The following is a 19,297-nucleotide window of genomic DNA, read 5'->3' as shown; positions in this document are numbered from 1 at the left end:
TGATCGTGCCACCCCACTCCAGCCTGGGTGACAGAGCGAGATCCTGTCTCAGAAGAAAAAAAAAAAAAGGTAACATAGTAATAAGTTCAACAAGAGAAACATTTATAAGTAGAAGGGCAGCATAATGATTAAATCTTGGGGTAGGAGGAGGAGATGATCGTGGCAAACTTCTTAAAGGCATAAGAGATGGGTTTTGGGGGTGAGTAGGAGTTTTATGAGTGGAAAAGAATGGACTGGGTGGGGCATAGAGGAAGGAGAACATTCCCAGCAAAGTGATCCTGAGGTAGAAATGGCACTAGCTGTTTTGTATTAAAGCAATCAATCAGCAACCTTTTATTAGTCCACGATATGTACAAGTACATAATATGGAAGAATGTAAATGTGTAAAACTTGATCATAGGCTCTGTGCGGTGGGTCATGTCTGTAATCCCAGCACTTTTGGAGGCCAAGGTGGGAAGATTGCTTGAGCCCAGGAGTCTGAGACCAGTCTGGGCCACATCTCTACAAAGAAATAAAATAAAAATGAGCTGGATATGGTGTTGTGCACCTGTAGCCCCAGGTAATCAGGAGGCTGAGGCAGGAGGATCGCATGAGCACAGGATGTCAAGGCTGTAGTGAGCTATGATCACACCACTGCACTCCAGCCTGGGTGACAGAGCAAGACCCCATCTCTTAAAAAACATACACACATACAACCAAAAAAACGTGACCACTAACTTCAAGGAACGTGCCGTATAGTCCCAGAGACAGGAATAAGAATAGACATGTGCTAAATGAATGGAATATCATGGCTGAAGGTCAAAATGCAGCTTAATTAAAACACCGGGGCATCAAGATCACACCCAATTTCCTCTTCAGCTCCATATGTTAAGGAGTTTGTTAGAATCCCTTCCCCAGGCACGTGGCAGACACTGTATACCTGTGATTAATGCATTGAGTCTTCATGCTAATTTTATGAGCTCCATGTTAATAACCCCATTTTACAGCTGGGAAGACAGAGGCTTAAAGGAGTGGTTCTAACTGTGGGTGATTTCAGCCCCCAGTGGCTATTTGGCAATGTCTGGAGATGGTTTTGGATGTCATAGTGCGTGCTACTGGCAGTTATAGTAGTGGAGGCTAGGGATGCTACTGAACAGTCTACGATGTACAAGGTGGTCCCCACAACACAGAACTATCCAGTCCAACATGTTAAGAGTGCCAAGGTTGAAAGACTGTTCTTTACAGTGATTAAGTTCAGTGCCAGAAGGTCACATTGACCTTAACTCAGTAGAGTGTTCCCTAAAACAAAGCCCCAAATGACACACACAGTACGCATACAGTGGGTCTCAGTTTGGTGAAAGAACATCTCCAAAGAAGTGCGCCTGGAGCTGGACACAGTGGCTTGCACCCATAGTCCCAGCTACTCAGGAGGCTGATGCCGAAGGATTACTTGGACCCAGGGATTCAAGACCAGCCTGGGCAAAACAGCAAGATCCCGTCTCTAAAACTAGTAATAATAATAAATAGAAGTGAACCATATTCCCACAGTTCCAGGTCATGCAGAAGCACATCCTAGGGTTCCTCTTCAGACCATAGCATGAGTGCATGATTGCCCTGGGATATGGTCTGCTTAGAGAACTGCCTGCAAGCCATAAACCAACTGCCTGCCGGTCATAAACCAGCCAGCTTGAGAGTAGTTACCTTCCAACTGTTCCAGTCAGGATAGGCTAGTTAGGCTGAGATAACAAACAATCCTCAAACCTCAAGGGTATAAAAGACATCATAGATCCATTTCTTGCCCACTCTACATTTCCAGCATGAATTAGCAAGAGTCTTTGCTCGTTGTAATTCTCTATCAGGGGCACAGTTAGCAAAGGCTCCAACCACTGTTACTGCCACCATCTCAACATATACACTAGTCCCTCTTTATCCACCAGGGATATGTTCCAAGACCCCCAGTGGATGCCTGAAACTGCGGATTTTACCGAACCCCATATATACTATTTTTTATCCTATACATACATACCTATGATAAAGTTTAATTTATAAATTAGGCACAGCGAGAGATTAACAACAACAGTAATAAAATAGAACAATTACAATATGCTATAATAAAAGTTATATGAATGTGGTCTCTCCCTCGCTCTTTAAATGTCTTTTTTTTTGTTTCTGTTTTTATTTATATTTATTTATTTATTTATTTTTTGAGACGAAGTTTCGCTCTTGTTGCCCAGGCTGGAGTGCAGGTCTTTTTTTTTTTTTTTTTTTTTGAGACAGTCTCCCTCTGTCACCCAGAGGAAGGTTTACAGTACTCTTGTAGCTCTGCGGTCCAGACAGCTCAAGTATTAACCGCCCAGTGGTGGGTCAGCGTGACAGACTTTGGCACTTGCACTCATGGCACCCAAGCTCTTGTCCAGTGTCCAGGAGGAATGGGGTCGCACAAACGAATGGAAGATGGTAAATGTGGGGGATTTTATTGCCGAAGAAAGTGGCTCTCAGCGGGAAAGGGAGCTGAAAAGGCTGTTCCCCTGAAGTCAAGCCTCTTCTCTCTGATGTCCAGCTGCTTCTCTCTCTCTGCTGGCTGAGCCTGGGGTTTTGATGGGCATGGGTTGTGGGGGTGGGGCAGGTCATGGGTGGTTTTGGAAAAGGCAACATTCAAGTGGGAAAACAGGGATGTAAGTTCTCACTTTGGGCCATGGTTTCAGGCTTTTCAGCTTGAGGGTGGGGCCCTTGCAGGGGACCCGCCATCTTCTGCCCGGAATTTTCCTGCTTGCTGTCCCTATCACTATGTCCCAGCAGAGATCTTTGGCCGGAAGAATGCCGTGTTTTACATCAACCACCAAGCTCGTGATGACCTTCCCTGGGCTCAACCTCTCCTTCTGTTGGTTGTCCCCAGGGGAATGTAATTACGGAGGCAGAGTGACTGATGACAAAGACCGGCGTCTCCTGCTGTCACTTCTGTCCATGTTCTACTGTAAGGAAATTGAGGAGGACTATTACTCCCTCGCTCCTGGAGACACTTACTACATCCCTCCTCATGGCTCCTACCAGGTAAGGGGTGGGCAGGGAGGCCTACCTCTTTCCCCCACAGGGCTCCGTCATCTCTATATGGCTACAGGGCTGCAGTGTAGCCAGGGATCCCAGGGGTGACCTTGGGCTTCCTGAATTGAATCCATAAGCTATTCCCAATATTCCCAAAAGCCTGCAAGAGAGACATGGCTACTGTTTAAGGAGGGGGTCGGTATTTGGTAGACAAGGTGTTTCAAAATATAGGATCCATCTGGGTGGAGGAAGGAGAGAGAACGATGATTAAGATGGAGCCTTGGAAGTGAGCAAGATGGAAATTGCTACTTGAAGACGAAGATTCAGAAGGTGGCAAAAAGGGAGGAACAGAAAAACTGGGCAGGGAATGACAAAAGGAAGATGAAAACAATCTGAGGGATAGAAAAGAGCTTACAGGTTGGATGCTGTGGCTCACGCCTGTAATCTCAGCACTTTGGGAGGCTGAGGCGGGTGGATCACTTAAGCTCAGGAGTTTGAGACCAGCCTGACCAACATGGTGAAACCCCATCTCTTCTAAAAATATAAAAATTAACCAGGTGTGGTGGCGCCTGCCTGTAATCCCAACTACTTGGGAGGCTGAGGCAGGGGAATTGCTTGAACTGGGAGGTGGAGGTTGTGGTGAGCTGAGACCATGCCACTGCACTCCAGCCTGAGTGACAGTGAAACTGTCTCAAAAAAACAAACAAACAAACAAAAAAAACCACTTACTTTTATTGATGACCTGTGGAACAGAAAAACTCTGAAATTGTATTTTTCTACTACTGTCTCACCACAACCACCACCACCATCAATACAGAAGAAGACTTCTGTGACCAAATGTGTGGAGGTTACCCCTTCCCCACACATTAAGCAGTGGACACCAACTGGGTGTCCTCTAATTCAATTCCAATACCATCTACCTGGTGATAGTGTCAGATCCCACGGGTTGAGGGCTCAGTCCCCAATTCTTTCCCCCAACCCAGACACCAGTCACAAGTCCCAGCCTCAAGAACTGACCAACCAGCTTCACGTTGGGGTTCTCACCACTCCCCCTTTAATTGAAATTAATTCAATTAATTTGCTGGAGCAGCTCACAGAACTCAGAGAAATACTTAGGTTTATTGGTTTATTAAAGGAATATTACAAAAGATATAGATGAAGAGATGCATAGGGTGAAGTATGGCGGAAGGAGTGAGAACTTCCATGCCCTCCCTGGGTGAAATACCCTCCAGGAACCTCCACGTGGTCAGCTATCCAGAAGCTCCCCGCACCCAGTCTTCTTGGGTTTTTATGAAAGCTGTATGACATTCCCCAGAGTATAGGGCAGCACCCTCTCTCTCTAGGTGGAGTCTTAAGACTCACAATCAGGTCAGGTGCAGTGGCTCATGCCTGTAATCCCAGCACTTTGGGAGGCTGAGGCTGGTGGATGGCTTGGGGTCAGGAGTTTGAGACCAGCCTGGCCAATGTGGTGAAATTCTGTCTCTACTAAAAATACAAAAATTAGCCGGGTGTGATGGCATGCACTTGTAGTCCCAACTACTCAGGAGGCGGAGGTGGGAAGATCGCTTGAGCCCAGGAGGCATAGGTTGCAGTGAACCAAGGTCCCACCACTGCACTCCAGCCTGGGCCACAGAGTGACCCTGTCTCAAAAAAAAAAAAAAAAAAAAAAAAAGGACTCACAATCAGAAAGGCAGGGGAAGATTTGAGTCTTGCTTGGGGGCAGGTAAAAGGAGGGAAAGAGAAGGTCAGAGAGATTCTGTTTCCTGCGGCCTGCCCCTAAGGCCTAACACACCCAACATTATAACAGGTGACTGTAACAAGGGCTAGGGGAGTTAGAAGCCAGGAACCATGGATGAAAACCAGTAGATATATATGTATATTACACCACAACCTGTCACATGCCAAGGCCTGATTCCTTCTGTGGATGAAAAGAGTCTCTTTCTTACCCTGTAAAATATTTGAAGAGATTTATACTGAGCCAAATATGAGTGACCATGGCCCGTGACACAGCCCTCAGGAGATCCTGAGAGCATGTGCCCCAGGTGGTCAGGGCTTGATTTTATACATTTTAGGGAGACGCGAGGCATCAGTCAAATACATTTAGGATATCCATTGGTTCAGTCCAGAAAGACGGGAAAACTCGAAGTGGAGGCCAGCAGGTTATAGGTAGATTTAAACGTTTTCTGATTGGCAATTGGTTGAAAGAGTTATCAATAGAAAGGAATGCCTGGGTTATGATAAGAGGTTGTGCAGACCCAAGTTTTATCATGCAGATGAAACCTCCAGGCAGCAGGCTTCAGAGAGAATAGATTGTAAATGTTTCTTATCAGACTTAAGGTCTGTGTTGATGGTAATGCTGGAGGGGCATAATGAGGCATGTCTGACCCCCACTTCCCGTCATGGCCTGAACCAGGCTTTCAGGTTAAATTTTAGAGTGCCCCGGACAAGGAGGAAGTCCATTCAGATGGTTGGAGGGTCTTAAGATTTTACTTTTGGTTTATACTTCATAACTACACTTGTTTTTCTATTTACAGATAAGGAAACTGGGGTTTCAGATGACAAGTTCAAGGGTACATAGTTTTATTATCGGAAGGGGGTCCAGATCCAGACCCAAAGGGATGGTTCTTGGATCTTGCACAAGAAAGAATTCGGGGCGAGTCTATAGAGTACAACAAAAGCAAGTTAATTAAGAAAGTAAAGGAGGCCGGGCGCAGTGGCTCATGCCTGTAATCCCAGTACCTTGGGAGGCCAAAGAGGTCGGATCACAAGGTTAAGAGATCGAGACCATCCTGGCTAACGCAGTGAAACCCCGTCGCTACTAAAAATACAAAAAATTAGCCGGGCATGATGGCATATGCCTATAATCCCAGCTACTAGGGAGGCTGAGGCAGTAGAATTGCTTGAATCCAGGAGGCGGAGGTTACAGTGAGCCAAGATAGTACCACTGCACTCCAGCCTGGCAGACAGCAAGAATCTGTCTCAAAAAAAAAAAAAAGTAAAGGAATAAAGAATGGCTACTTCATAGACAGAGCAATGACATGGGTTGCTGCTCAACTGATTATACTTACAGTTATTTCTTGATTATATGCTAAACAAGGGGTGGATTATTCATGAGTTTTCCGGGAAAGGGGTGGGCAATTCCAAGAAGTGAGGGTTCCTCCCCTTTCTAGACTATATAGGGCAACTTCCTGACATTGTCATGACATCTGTAAACAGTCATGGCGCTGGTGGGAGTGTCTCATAGCATGCTAATGCATTATAATTAGTGTGTAATGAGCAGTGAGGTCAACTAGAGGTCACTTCCGTGGCCATCTTGGTTTGGGGATATTTGACTGGCTTCTTTACCACAACCTGTTTTATCAGCAAGGTCTTTGTGACCTGTATCTTGTGCTGACTCCTGTCTCATCCTGTGACTTAGAATGCCCTCACCTCCTAAGAATGCAGCCCACTAGGTGTCAGCCTTATTTTACCCAGTCCCTATACAAGATGGAGTTGCTCTGGTTCGAATGCCTCTGACAGTTTGGGATGGAGCTAGGATCCAAACTCAGTTCTGTTTGGGTCCAAAGCCAGGCCCACTGGGGGAGCAGAGAGGAAGCCAGGGTGGGCGAGAGGTAATTCAGTCTCATCTGCTTTCATGCCCACTCCCCAGAAAACTGTATGAGGGAGGGCTAGGGTTGTGTTCTCCCAGCGTGTGTGTGTGTGTGTGTGTGTGTGTCCTGTGCTACTGATACAGTATGATTCCTGTTCTGATTGGGTTCTGCTAAGCCTGGAGTCATCTGTGGGATTCTGGGGTCCCTCGTTGATTTCAACTGAAGATTTCCCTTCCAGTCCTATATCGACTATCTCAGGAATCTCCCCATCACAGCCCACCCAGAAGTGTTCGGCCTCCATGAGAACGCAGACATCACCAAAGACAACCAGGAAACCAACCAGCTGTTTGAGGGGGTCCTGCTGACCCTCCCTAGACAGTCAGGAGGAAGTGGCAAGTCCCCTCAGGTAACTGGGCTCGGGAAAGGGGGCTTAATCCTATTTCCCAGGCAGTTCTTCATCCAGTGGGCACACAGGATTGGAGGGTGACCAAGAGGCAGAGAGTGGGGGCCTGGCAGCCTCCTGGCCAAGGGCAGGGAAGGAGCACTGTGGCCTTACTGCCGGGAGTCCTTATATCCAGAGCTGCAAGGGAACCAGTGTTTCCAAAATGTCAGCTATTCCTGTATAACCTTCATGTTTTCTGCTATATCCACCTATCACCTATACTCCATTTACATAATGGGTTTTATTCTTTTTTTTTTTCTTTTGCTTTTTTTTCTACATAATGTTTTAAAACTAACTCTCTTTTTTTTTTAATTTAAAAGATTGCACATCAGAACCATAAGTGGAAACCCAGTATCATTTCCATAAAGTCATGATACGCACAAAAAGAAAATGAAAGCTGAACAGTGAACAGTTGGTGTTTTTTGGTTTCTGTTTGTTGTTGTTGCTGTTTTTCTTTTCTTTTCTTTTTTTTTTTTGAGACACGGTTTGGCTCGGTTACCTAGGCTGGAGCGCAGTGGCGTGATCTTGTCTCACTGCAACCTCCGCCTCCCAGGCTCAAGCAATTCTCCTGCCTCAGCCTCCCGAGTAGCTGGGACTACAAGCACATGCCACCATGCCCAGCTAAATTTTTTTGTATTTTCTGTAGAGACAGTGTTTCATCATATTGTCCAGGATCGTCTCAAACTCCTGGGCTCAAGCAATCTGCTTGCGTTGGCTTCCAAAAGTGCTGGGATTACAGGCGTGAGCCACTGCTCCCAGCGTTAACAGTTGTTAAGTTCTTCCCAGATGATGTTGCTGGCCAAAGCCCCTGAGCTGAGGCTTTGCTGGCTTCTTGTTAAAAGGAGAAAGATGTGTGAGTGTCAAAGAATTGGCACTGACCCGAAACTGTCTTTTTGAGAGGAATGAAAAGAGAAAGATGGTCAGAACTGGAAAAGAGGCCAGGTGCAGTGAATCGCACCTGTAGTCCCAGCACTTTGGGAGGCTGAAGCAGGAGGAGCACTTGAGGCCAGGAGTTCGAGGCCAGCCTGGGCAACATAAGGAGACCGCATCACTACAAAAAAATTTTTTTTAAGTTAACCGAGGGCTGGGTGCCATGGCTCATGCCTATAACCCTAGCACTTTGGGAGGCCAAGGTGGGTGGATTGCTTGAGCCAAGGAGTTGGAGACCAGCCTGAGCAACATAGCAAAACGCCGTCTATACAAAAAAAAAAAATAGCTGAGCTCAGTGGCGTGCACCTGTAATCCCAGCTACTCAGGAAGCTGAGGTGGGAGGATCGCTTGATTCTGGGCTGTTGAGGCTGCAGTGAGCTGAGATCATGCCACTGCACTCCAGCCTAGGCGACAGAGTGAGACCCTGTCTTAAAAAAAGTTAACTGGGTGTGGTGGTGCGTGCCTGTAGTCCCAGCTACTAAGGGGGCTGCGGCAGGAGGATCACTTGAACCCAGGAGGTCGAGGCTGCAGTGAGGCTGTGATCACGAGGCTGTGATCATGCCTTTGCACTCCCACCTGGACGACAGAGTGAGACACTATCTCAAAACAGTAACAACAACAATGAAAAAAAACCCAAAACCTGAAAGAGTAACTTTCTCACCATGTGACTCAACATGATTTTTCTGTGTCCTGGAAACACCTAAAATCCTGGGTACCTCTAGTAGTCCCAGTGCACTCTTTGTGATGACCTGACCCAGGCCACCCTCCTAAGTCTACAAATGAAGAGAGAAACAAATCCTGAGAGAGAAAGTGACCGGCTTCCAGGCTTTCATAAAATCAAGGACGGAGCCAGAACCAGAGCCACCGTCTCCTGACTCCACCCGCTTCCTCTCCCATCCCTTCCCTTCTCCACCTTCCAAGCTACCTCCTGTTTAACCCCTCCCAACTGTAGAATTTGCTAATTTGCTTTCATGATTTGGTTCCTAGTGCCATTAAGTATCACTGGTATGAAGGTAAACCAGCCTGGTTGGTGTATCCCGATGTAGGAGTGGAAATTCCCCTCACAGTGGGAAGAGGGAAAGAATTATACATCCCAGCCTCCCACATCCACAGGACCACAGGGTGTCTGTCTCTCCCACACTCAGGTCTTGTTCCTCCTTGAGCCTCGAGGCCTGTCCCCTCCCTACTTGGCTAAGCTGAGGGTTCTGTGCTTTTCTTGCTCCAATGCTGAAGAATGGCCTGCTGCTTTCCCAGGTGTCACGGGCACTGAGAAAGGGCCCCATGGCACCAGGAGCTAATCCTCAGGGGTCAGAGGCTGTGGGAGATTCTCACCTGGGTGTGACATTGAAGACAGAGGCTTAGTGCTGCCCTGAAGCTACCTGGCTGAGCAAGAGTTCCCTTCCTGGCCCTTCGGCTCTTGCCTGAGGTGTCAGGACACGACTCTTTTTTTTTTTTTTTTTAACTTTTAGACAGGTGTTCCTCTGTCACCCAGGCTGGAGTGCAGCGGCCAGATCTCAGCTCACTGCAACATCCGCCTCCTGGGTTCAAGTGATTCTCCTGCTTCAGCCTCCCAAATAGCTGGGACCATAGGCATGCAGCATCATGCATGGCTAATGGCTAATTTTTGTATTTTTTGTAGAAACTGGGTTTCGCTATGTTTCCCAGGCTGGTCTCAAACTCCTGGACTCAAGCGATCCACCCACTTCGGCCTCCTAAAGTGCTGGGATTACAGGCGTGAGCCACCGTGCTCTGCCAAGGACAGGACTCTACTCTTCTGGACCAAGAGGCGATGCCCTCCCCAAGGCTGGTGGGGTGATGAGGGACTCCTTTCCCCACTGGAGGCAGAAATGGCTTCTGTTGGAGAGTTCTCAGGAAAGTCCCACAGAATACATTTGAAAAGTCAGATGCTCAGTACTTAAAGTTTATCCAAAGCCACAGCCTGTAGGGCTTGCTTCTCACTCACCTCTCTTCTGCCTGCATTTTAAGGAAGTGGTTGAGGAGTTGGCACAAGACATTCTCTCCAAGCTTCCCAGAGACTTTGACCTGGAAGAGGTCATGAAGTTGTACCCCGTGGTCTATGAAGAATCCATGAATACCGTCCTAAGGCAGGAGCTCATCAGATTCAACAGGTGGGCCAGATGATGTAGCTTGAATCCTGGGAGTTGGAACGTGAGGAGTAGGATCTAACAGGCAGTAGCTGAGAAGGGGTTGCTATGCAGAGGAAGTGGTTTGCCCCACCCGTATTAGGGGTGTGAATAGGGGCTGTGAATAGGACCATCCCCAGCACATGCTGACCCTGGGTTGAATCATTCCTTCTATTCATTCATTCCCATTCATTCATGTGACATCTATAAAGTTAGGCTAAAACCAGTATCAAGCACAGGCTAATAGTAAAAGTAGTCATTAGAGCCACTTTCATTTTTCTTTCCTGAGTTGAGGTCTCTCTCTGTCGCTCAAGTTGGAGTGCAGTGGTGTGATCATGACTCATTGCAGCCTCGAACTCCTGGGCTCAAGCAGTCCTCCCACCTCAGCCTCCTGAGTAGCTGAGTCTACAGACACAGGCCACCATGCTGGCTAATTTTTTTATTTTTTATTTTTTATAGAGATGGAGTTTTGACATGTTGGCCAGGCTGGTCTTGAACTCCTGGCCTCAAGCAGGCCTCCAGCCTTGGCCTCGTAAAGTGGTGGGATTACAGGTGGGAGCCACTGCACCTGGCCTAGAGCCATTTGTATTGAGCCTTTAGGGACAGATACGGTTCTAAGCACTATGCATGGGTCTCATTCAAAGTCTGTAATAGGGCTGGGCACAGTGGCTAACGCCTGTAATTCCAGCACTTTGAGAAGCAGAGTAGGGAGGATCACCTGAGGCCAGGAGTCCAAGACCAGCCTGGGCAACAAAGCAAGACCCCATCTCTCCAAAAAAGAAAAAAAAAAAAAAGGCAGGCATGGTGGTGCACGTCTACAGTCCCAGCTACTTGGGAGGGTGAAGTGGGAGGATCTCTTGGAGGCCAGGAGCTCGAGGCGGCAGTGAGCTATGATCTTGCCACTGCACTCCAGCCTGGGTGACAGAGAAAGACCCTATCCCTTAAAAAAAAATTACACAATAGTCTTTTGAAATACGTCCAGTTACTAATCCTGCTACCAGCATTTTACAAGTAAGAAAACTGAGGCTGAGCATGATCACTCACGCCTACAATCCCAGCACTTTGGGAGGCAAGCCGGGAGGATTGCTTGAACCCAGGGGTTTAAGACCAGCCTGGGCAATATGGCAAGACCCCATCTCTTAAAGAAAATAAAAAAAAACTCTGAGATTCAGAAGGGTTAAGACTTGCCCAAGGTTGCTCAGTTATTCAATCATTCAACGGGAAAACTCAGTTTAAACCCAGAACTAAGTCTGATTCCAGAGCCCGTGTACTTATCCAATATGTGAAATCTGGGTAAATCTAGAAAGGGGTGGGAGACGTTCATCCTAGTGCCTCTACCACACAGTTAGGGGTATTATAGGCTGGCCATGGGGCAAGGATCTCTGGCCTTGTATTCTAGTCCTCTTCTCCAGTTACTACAGCATGGAGCCCAGTGGGATCACCTGGATTTGATTTTTGAATAGTCAAAACTGAAAGGGTTATCAAAGACCATCTAGGCCAGATGAGGAAACTGAGGTCCAGAGATGACTGTGATTTGATGTAGGTCTCAAGTGACTCAGAGCCAAGTGGGCTAAAACTTATCACTTCTGCTTCCAAGACCAAGGTCTTGCTGCTCCAGACACTGCATGTGTTACTGCCTCTATTCTGTGTCATTGGGTCACTGCTTCATTTTAAGGACAGCCCTGATTCCAGAGGACCAGGGGACTGGAGGAGTGTTATTTGAGAGTTGTTAGGCTTCCTGAATTTTAAAGTTACTTTTTTTTTTTTTTTTTTGAGACAGAGTCTCACTCTTGTCACCCAGACTGGAGTGCAGTGGCGCGATCTCGGCTCACTGCGACCTCCACCTCCCAGGTTCAAGAGATTCTCCTGCCTCAGCCTCCCAAGTAGCTGGGATTACAGGTGCCTGCCACCACGCCCAGCTAATTTCTGTACTTTTAGTAGAGACAGGATTTCGCCATGTTGGCCAGGCTGGTCTCGAACTCCTGACCTCAGGTGATCCGCCCACCTTGGCCTCCCAAAGTGCTGGGATTACAGGTGTAAGCCACTGTGCCCGGCCTAGGGTTACTCTTTAGAGTCAACAGGCAGTTGGCCGTAGCAGGGACCAAGCAAGGTATGGGGTGTGAGCCTAGGACGAGGCCACCTCTGTTGTGAGACACCTTGGCATGATGGACTGTAGTCCTGGACTGTCCAACTGGACACCAAAACTAATGGCTTCCCTCCTCTGCTGTCATTCTCCTCTAAGGCCACTGGAGCTCTTTCTTGGTGGTTGCAGGGGCTTTCACTGGCCTTCACCACTGGGCATTCTATAAAGGACAGCAAGCCAGGTGCCGTGGCTCACTCCACCCAGCACTGTAATCCCAGCACTTTAGGAGGCTGAGGCAGGCAGATTGCTCAGGAGTTGGAGATCAGCTTGGGCAACATGGCAAAACCCCATCTCTACCAAAAATACATAAAATTATCTGGGCATTGTAGAACCAGCTACTCAGGAGACTGAGGAGGGAGGATTGCTTGGGCCTGGGAAGTGGAGGTTGCAGTGAGCCAAGATTGTGCCACTGCACTTCAGCCTGGGCAAGAGAATGAGACCCTGTCTCAAAAGAAAAAAAGAACAGGGAAAGCAATCTTATTTTCCAATGATGGTCAGGATTAATCATCTCAAGCAGTACTCTAACGTTCCTCCCCACTATTTTTTTTCTTTCCCTTTTTTTTTTTTTTTTTTGCCTTTTCACCCAGTGATATAGGAAGCCCAGAATGATTCAGCGACAGTTCAGCTTCAGGGGAACTGTGACTGTGTCTTCTGGGCAAGTGTTCTTTCCTTGGGTACTAAAACCTTAAAACTAGCAGAGCTCATAGTTGCAAGAATAGAAAGAGAATCTTTGCAAGTAGGTCTTTAGGTATAATAGAGGTCTGTGGTGTAATCCCTCAGATGGCAGCTTTTACCCTTGACTGCTTAGCAAACACATGTCTGAATTTTACATTCCTTTTTTTTTTTTTAATTGAGACAGAGTTTCACTCTTGTCGCCCAGGCTGGAGTGCAATGGCGTGATCTTAGCTCGGCTCACTGCAACCTCCACCTTCTGGGTTCAAGCGATTCTCCTGCCTCAGCCTCCTGAGTAGCTGGAATTACAGGCGCGCATGCTCAGCTAATTTTGTATTTTTAGTACAGACGGGGTTTAACCATGTTGGCCAGGCTGGTCTCAAACTCCTGACCTCAAGTGATCCACCCACCTCTGCCTTTCAAAGTGCTGGGATTACAGGCGTGAGCCCCCACACCCAGCTACATTCCTCTTGATACAATGGTTTAGTGGTTACACATCCAGAAATCCTCTTCCTGCATGTGATCATTCTCATGTCCATTCAGTTGAGATTCCATAAAGCTTTGGAGATGAAAAGCTCTTTGTAGTGGCAGATTCTTTGGTCTCCTCAGGTGAATTACCTCCGGGCTTGGCTGGGCCTCGTAACATAAAGGTCAGAGGGAGAGGCAGGTGAATTTGACATCTCCCAGGCTGCCCTTCAGTTGCCTTTTCTCAGGCGTGCACCTTATAGTCGATAAAAAAGGACCTTTGGCCAGGCGTGGTAGCTCATCTGTAATCCCAGCACTTTGGGAGGCTGAGGTGGGAGGATTACTTGAGTTTAGGAGTTTGAGACCAGCCTGGGCAACATAGGGAGACCTTGTCTCTACTTAAAAAAAAATCAGGTGGGCATAGTGGCATGTGCCTGTAGTCCCAGCTACTCAGGAGACTGAGGTGGGAGGATTCCTTGAGCCTGGGAGATCGAGGCTGCAGTGAGCCATGACTCCACCACTGCACTTCCCTGGGTGACAGGGCAAGACTCTGTCTCAAAAAAAAAAAAAAAAAAAGAACAACTTTGACAATATGAATTGAAAGCCTTAAAACTGTGCGTGCTCTTTGACCTAGAAATATTTTTAATAATAATTTAAAATTTGCAAAAAGATTGAGATGGATGAATTTTGCTAGCAATGTTGTTGATAGTGACAACAATCTAGAAATAACACGTCAACAATAGAGGAATAGTTAAACAAAATGGAACATTTTGCAGTCGTTACAAAGGACAGGCATGGTGATGCACACCTGTAGTCCCAGCTACTCCAGAGGCTGAGGCAGGAGGATCACTTGAGCCCAGGAGTTTGAGGCTGCAGTGAGCTCTGATCTCACTACTTACTCCAGCCTGAATGACAGAGTGAAACCCCATCTCTAAAAAAAAGAAAAAAAGGACAATTTAGGTCTCTATTGAATTGGAAAGATGTTTCCTATATGCTAAGAAAGAAAAACAGATTACGGAAAGATAATATAGTATGATCTCATTAAAAATAATTTGTGTTCACATAGAGAAAAATCTGGAAAGATATACATCAACGTTATCTTTAGGTAGCAAGGTAACGGGTGATTTAATTTTTCCTCATTTAATGACTGTGCATTAATTAACTGACATTTTAAAGGGGACAGCAGTCAGTGGACTTGGGTAGAATGTGGCCACCGGAGAGCCCAGCTCAGCCAGCTCCTCTGTTCTTGCAGGCTGACCAAAGTGGTTCGGAGGAGCCTCATCAATCTTGGCCGAGCCATCAAAGGACAGGTCCTGATGTCCTCGGAGCTAGAGGAAGTCTTTAACAGCATGCTTGTGGGTAAAGTGCCAGCCATGTGGGCAGCCAAGTCTTACCCATCACTGAAGCCTCTGGGGGGCTACGTGGCTGACCTGCTGGCCCGCCTGACCTTCTTCCAGGTACCTGGGAGTCAGGGGTAACCGGGAACCTGGCATGCTTGCTTAGGTGGAGAGGACATTCTGAAATGGCAGACTAGAGGCAGGGGGAGGAGGGCAGGCAGCCACAGAACATCCTGGATTGAGCCTCTGGAAACAGTCTTCCTGGAGTTAGAAGCAGGAGGGAGACTTGAAAGTCCTGGAAAAGATTATAGCCGGCCGGGCGCAGTGGCTCACATCTGTATTGCCAGCACTCTGGGAGGCCGAGGCAGGCGGATCACTTGAGGTCAGGAGTTCGACACCAGCCTGGCCAGCATGGTGAAACCCCGTCTCTACTAAAAATACCAAAAAAATCAGCAGGGCATAGTGGCTTATGCCTGTAGTCTCAGCTACCTGGGAGGCTGAGGCAGGAAAATGGCTTGAACCTGGGAGGCAGAGGTTGCAGTGAGCCGAGATCACGCCATTTCACTCCAGCCTGGGCGACAGAGCAAGACTCCGTCTAAAAAGAAAAAAAATGTCACAAACTGGTGGCTCATGAGATAGATTTGGACAATAATTATGTTTGGTTTGGCTACCTGGTAATTTAAACATTTTTGAGCCAGCATGTAAACATTGATTTTTTACATATAAAAATCCGATGTTTGTACTGCAAAAAATAGAAGACCTGAAACAATGCACCTGCGTTCTCGCATGGCATGGCGACTATTGCTGGAGATGAGTGGCAGCTGCTCAGTTTAGACAAGGTACATATTCTCCACTGCTACAGTCCCCACCACTCTCTGTTGTATCCCTGATATCAGCTTGCACCTGGGCTTTTTTTTTTTTTTTTGAGATGAAGTTTCACTCTTGTCACTCAGGCTGGAGTGCAATGGCATGATCTTGGCTCACTGCAACCTCTGCCTCCTGGGTTCAAGCGATTCTCCTGCCTCAGCTTCCCAAGCAGCTGGGACTGCAGGTGCCCACCACCACGCCTGGCTAATTTTTGTAGTACCTAGGCGTTTCTTAAAGTGTAAATATATTTCTTTGTACCCTTATTTCAAAAGTGGGAAGATAGAAGCTAAACCAAGAGGGCTGTTTCAAGAAAAATATGAAAAAACATATTTTATATGGTACTCGTTACATTACTTGCATTTGAACTATCTTTGATGTGTTGTTGATTTTGAATCTTGATTTCTGTGGCTCTCCAGGAATGGATTGACAAGGGGCCCCCTGTGGTATTTTGGATCTCTGGATTCTACTTCACACAGTCTTTTTTGACTGGCGTCTCTCAAAATTATGCCCGGAAATATACCATCCCCATTGACCACATTGGATTTGAGTTTGAGGTAGGGGTGCTTTGGGTTAGGCTCACTCAAGGGGCTGACCAGAGAAAGCAATGTTGCCAATTTCCTTATGAGTCAAAAAATGTGGATGTGTTAAGACCCAAATGCTTCTGAAATGGTACATATGAAGCATTTAGCATAATTTACAGTAGCTCTAAAAGCTACTCCTAAAATAATTAGAGGATTCCCAATGCTTTGTCTCTGTGTATACAAAAAGGGAATCTTTCCAGATTCCGTCAGAACACCAAGAAAAATGAAGGCACTCTCCCACTCTGTTTGTTCAATGTGGTGGACTCTTCATTTACAAGAATGTTAATGCCCTTAGGTAGTCCTTTGCTTGGAGTAAAGTTAAAAGCATGGCCAACAGTCAAGCATCAGCCTGTCATATATAGAGAGTAGAATGGCTACGATTGACTGTTACAGAGCATTGTAGAATTTTAAATTATACGGAAAGATCCTTTGAAATCATCTAGTCCAGAGGTCACAAACTGGTTGCCCTATGTCTTAAATCAGTTTATGAATGAACTTAACTTGATTAGCCTTTGAAGACAATGTTAAGCCAAAATAAATACAACAAGAAAAAAAATGACTAGGATAAACATTGAAAAAAAGATAAAACCATCTTTCTTGATGTTGAAATGATTGTATACCTAGAAATCCGAAGTGATTAAAAACATAGAGTCCTTTACTTGCAATGGTTCAACTTACAATTTTTTGACTTCATGATGTGAAATCAGTACACATTCAGGAGAAACCACACCTTGAGTACCCATACACCCATTCCATTTTTCACTTTTAGTATAGTATTTGATAAATTACATAAGATACTCAACACTTTACTATAAAACAGACTTTGTGTTAGATGATTCCTGCCCACTATAGGCTAATGTAAGTGTTCTAAGCACATTTAAGGGAGGCTAGGCTAAGCTATGATATTTGTTGTAGGTTAGGTATATTAAATGCAGTTTTGGCTTACAATATGTTCAACTTATGATGGGTTTATCAGGACATAACCCCATTGTAAGTTGAGGAGCATCTGTAGAAGAATTCACAAGGTCACTGGATATTGGTTAAATTTATAAAAATCAATAGCCTTTTCCTATTCTTCCAATATATACTTAGAATTAGAAATGGGAAAAAATTCCATTCACCATAAAAATTTTTTAAAGTATAATTTGAATGATTTTAAATGGAGTTTGTGCTCTCTGGTTCACCATAATCCCCACCCCTCCCTATTCTCCTATGCTTTGTCCATTTTCTGCAATTACCTAAAGGAATTTGAGTTTACCACCTCTGAATCTAAGCAGTGGTGTGCTGGAGCTCACTCATATCAGCTCACCAGGGCCAACTGTTACATTTTCAGGAATTTTGTGAGCTGGTTGTTAAATAGTTGGTAGGCTGAAATTGACCATGGTGGAAGTCTTTATACCACAAAAACTAGAAATCAAGGCTTTATTCTCCCCACACTCATCTCCAGAACTGTTTATCCAGTCTGTCTCTGTATCTGAATCTAACCCCTCACTTTATAAATCCAGATCCAGAAAGGGAAGGGATTGTGCAATCACTAAGCTAGTTAGAGGTAATGTGTTAGAATAATGTGACTCCTACTTGAGTGCATTCTCTAGCCCACCATTGGGAAGGGCAGCATACTGACCAGGAGTCAGGCCTGGCCCATGTATGGTGGGCAGGAATATTATCACAGAAGCCCCATTGTCCCTGGATCCTGGGAGAGGTAGATATTGCAACCAGGTTGCACTTTGAGTATCAGAAGATTCCAGGCTCTTAAAGCTGCCCATGTAGGAAAATGGCAGGCAATGGAGCTCATAGCTTTTTATTCTTCCAGGTAACCCCACAAGAAACAGTGATGGAGAATAACCCCGAAGATGGGGCCTACATCAAAGGGCTCTTCTTAGAAGGTGCCCGTTGGGACAGGAAAACGATGCAGATTGGGGAATCTCTCCCCAAAATCCTCTATGACCCACTGCCCATCATTTGGCTGAAACCTGGGGAGAGCGCAATGTTTCTGCATCAGGACATCTATGTGTGTCCAGTCTACAAAACAAGTGCCCGCAGAGGAACCCTCTCCACCACAGGCCACTCTACCAACTATGTCCTCTCCATTGAGCTTCCAACAGACATGCCCCAGAAGCACTGGATAAACCGAGGGGTGGCCTCACTGTGCCAGCTGGATAACTGATGGCATTTGTCTCAAGACAGAAAATAAAAAGCATTTCATTCTTTTTGTTTTGAGACAGTCTTGCTCTGTCACCCAGGCTGGAGTGCAGTGGCATGAAATCAGCTCACTGCACCTTCCGCCTTCCAGGTTCAAGTGATTCTCGTGCCTCAGCCTCCTGAGTAGCTGGGATTACAGGCACACACCACAATGCCAGGCTATTTTTTTGTATTTTCAGTAGAGACAGGGCTTTTGCCATGTCGCCCAGGCTGGTCTCGAACTCCTGAGCTCAGGCAATCCACTCCCCCTTTGGCCTCCCAAAGTGCTGGGATTACAGGCGCCACCGCGCCTGGCCAAAAGGCATTTCATTCTTTTTATTTTATTTTATTATTATACTTTAAGTTCTAGGGTACATGTGCACAACGTGCAGGTTTGTTACATACGTATACATGTGCCATGTTGGTGTGCTGCACCCATTAACTCATCATTTACATTAGGTGTATCTCCTAATGCTATCCTTCCCCCCCCACCCTCCCCACCCCACGACAGGCCCAGGTGTGTGATGTTCCCTTTCCTGTGTCCAAGTGTTCTCATTGTTCAATTCCGACCTATGAGTGAGAACGAAGGCATTTCATTCTTGATGATGGTGGTGGTGATGATGTTGATGACAATTATATTAATAAAGCAATTGCTATGAGCCAGGTATTTCCTAGCAACTCTATAAAGTACATTATTATTATTATCCTCATTTTATGGCTGCAGAAACCATGATACAGAGAAGATAAGTAATCTCCCCCAAATCAGATAGCTACTCAAGTAGTATCTGAATACAGGCAGTGGGACTCTTCAACACAGACTCTTGGTCAGTTGGCTAAGCTCCCTTATGGTGATTTTCTTCTTCTGAGACAGTTTCTTGCTCTGCTGCCCTGGCTGGAGTGCAGTGGCACAATCTCGGCTCACTG

General features: G+C 46.2%; 1 protein-coding gene across 15 annotated transcripts in view; it reads left to right on the top strand.

Moving 5' to 3' along the window:
- The window catches only part of DNAH3 (dynein axonemal heavy chain 3), a 226,349-nt gene extending 207,947 nt beyond the window's left edge, over positions 1–18,402 (top strand). For 14 of the 15 annotated variants that reach the window (XM_017023432.2, NM_017539.2, XM_047434349.1 and 11 more), the window contains 6 exons: positions 2,876–3,030; positions 6,850–7,017; positions 9,970–10,112; positions 14,660–14,864; positions 16,028–16,165; positions 18,006–18,402. In XM_017023432.2, the coding sequence (XP_016878921.1) occupies positions 2,876–3,030; positions 6,850–7,017; positions 9,970–10,112; positions 14,660–14,864; positions 16,028–16,165; positions 18,006–18,359 (1,163 nt within the window). In that variant the 3' untranslated portion in view covers positions 18,360–18,402. Of the gene's footprint in view, positions 1–2,875; positions 3,031–6,849; positions 7,018–9,969; positions 10,113–14,659; positions 14,865–16,027; positions 16,166–18,005 lie in introns of those variants that run through there. The other variant, XM_011545885.4, reaches the window with a different exon arrangement.

The sequence above is a fragment of the Homo sapiens genome, chromosome 16 (genome assembly GCF_000001405.40).
Source record: "Homo sapiens chromosome 16, GRCh38.p14 Primary Assembly".
NCBI classification, from domain to species: Eukaryota; Metazoa; Chordata; class Mammalia; order Primates; family Hominidae; genus Homo; species Homo sapiens.
This window is presented reverse-complemented; position numbering and strand designations above follow the sequence as displayed.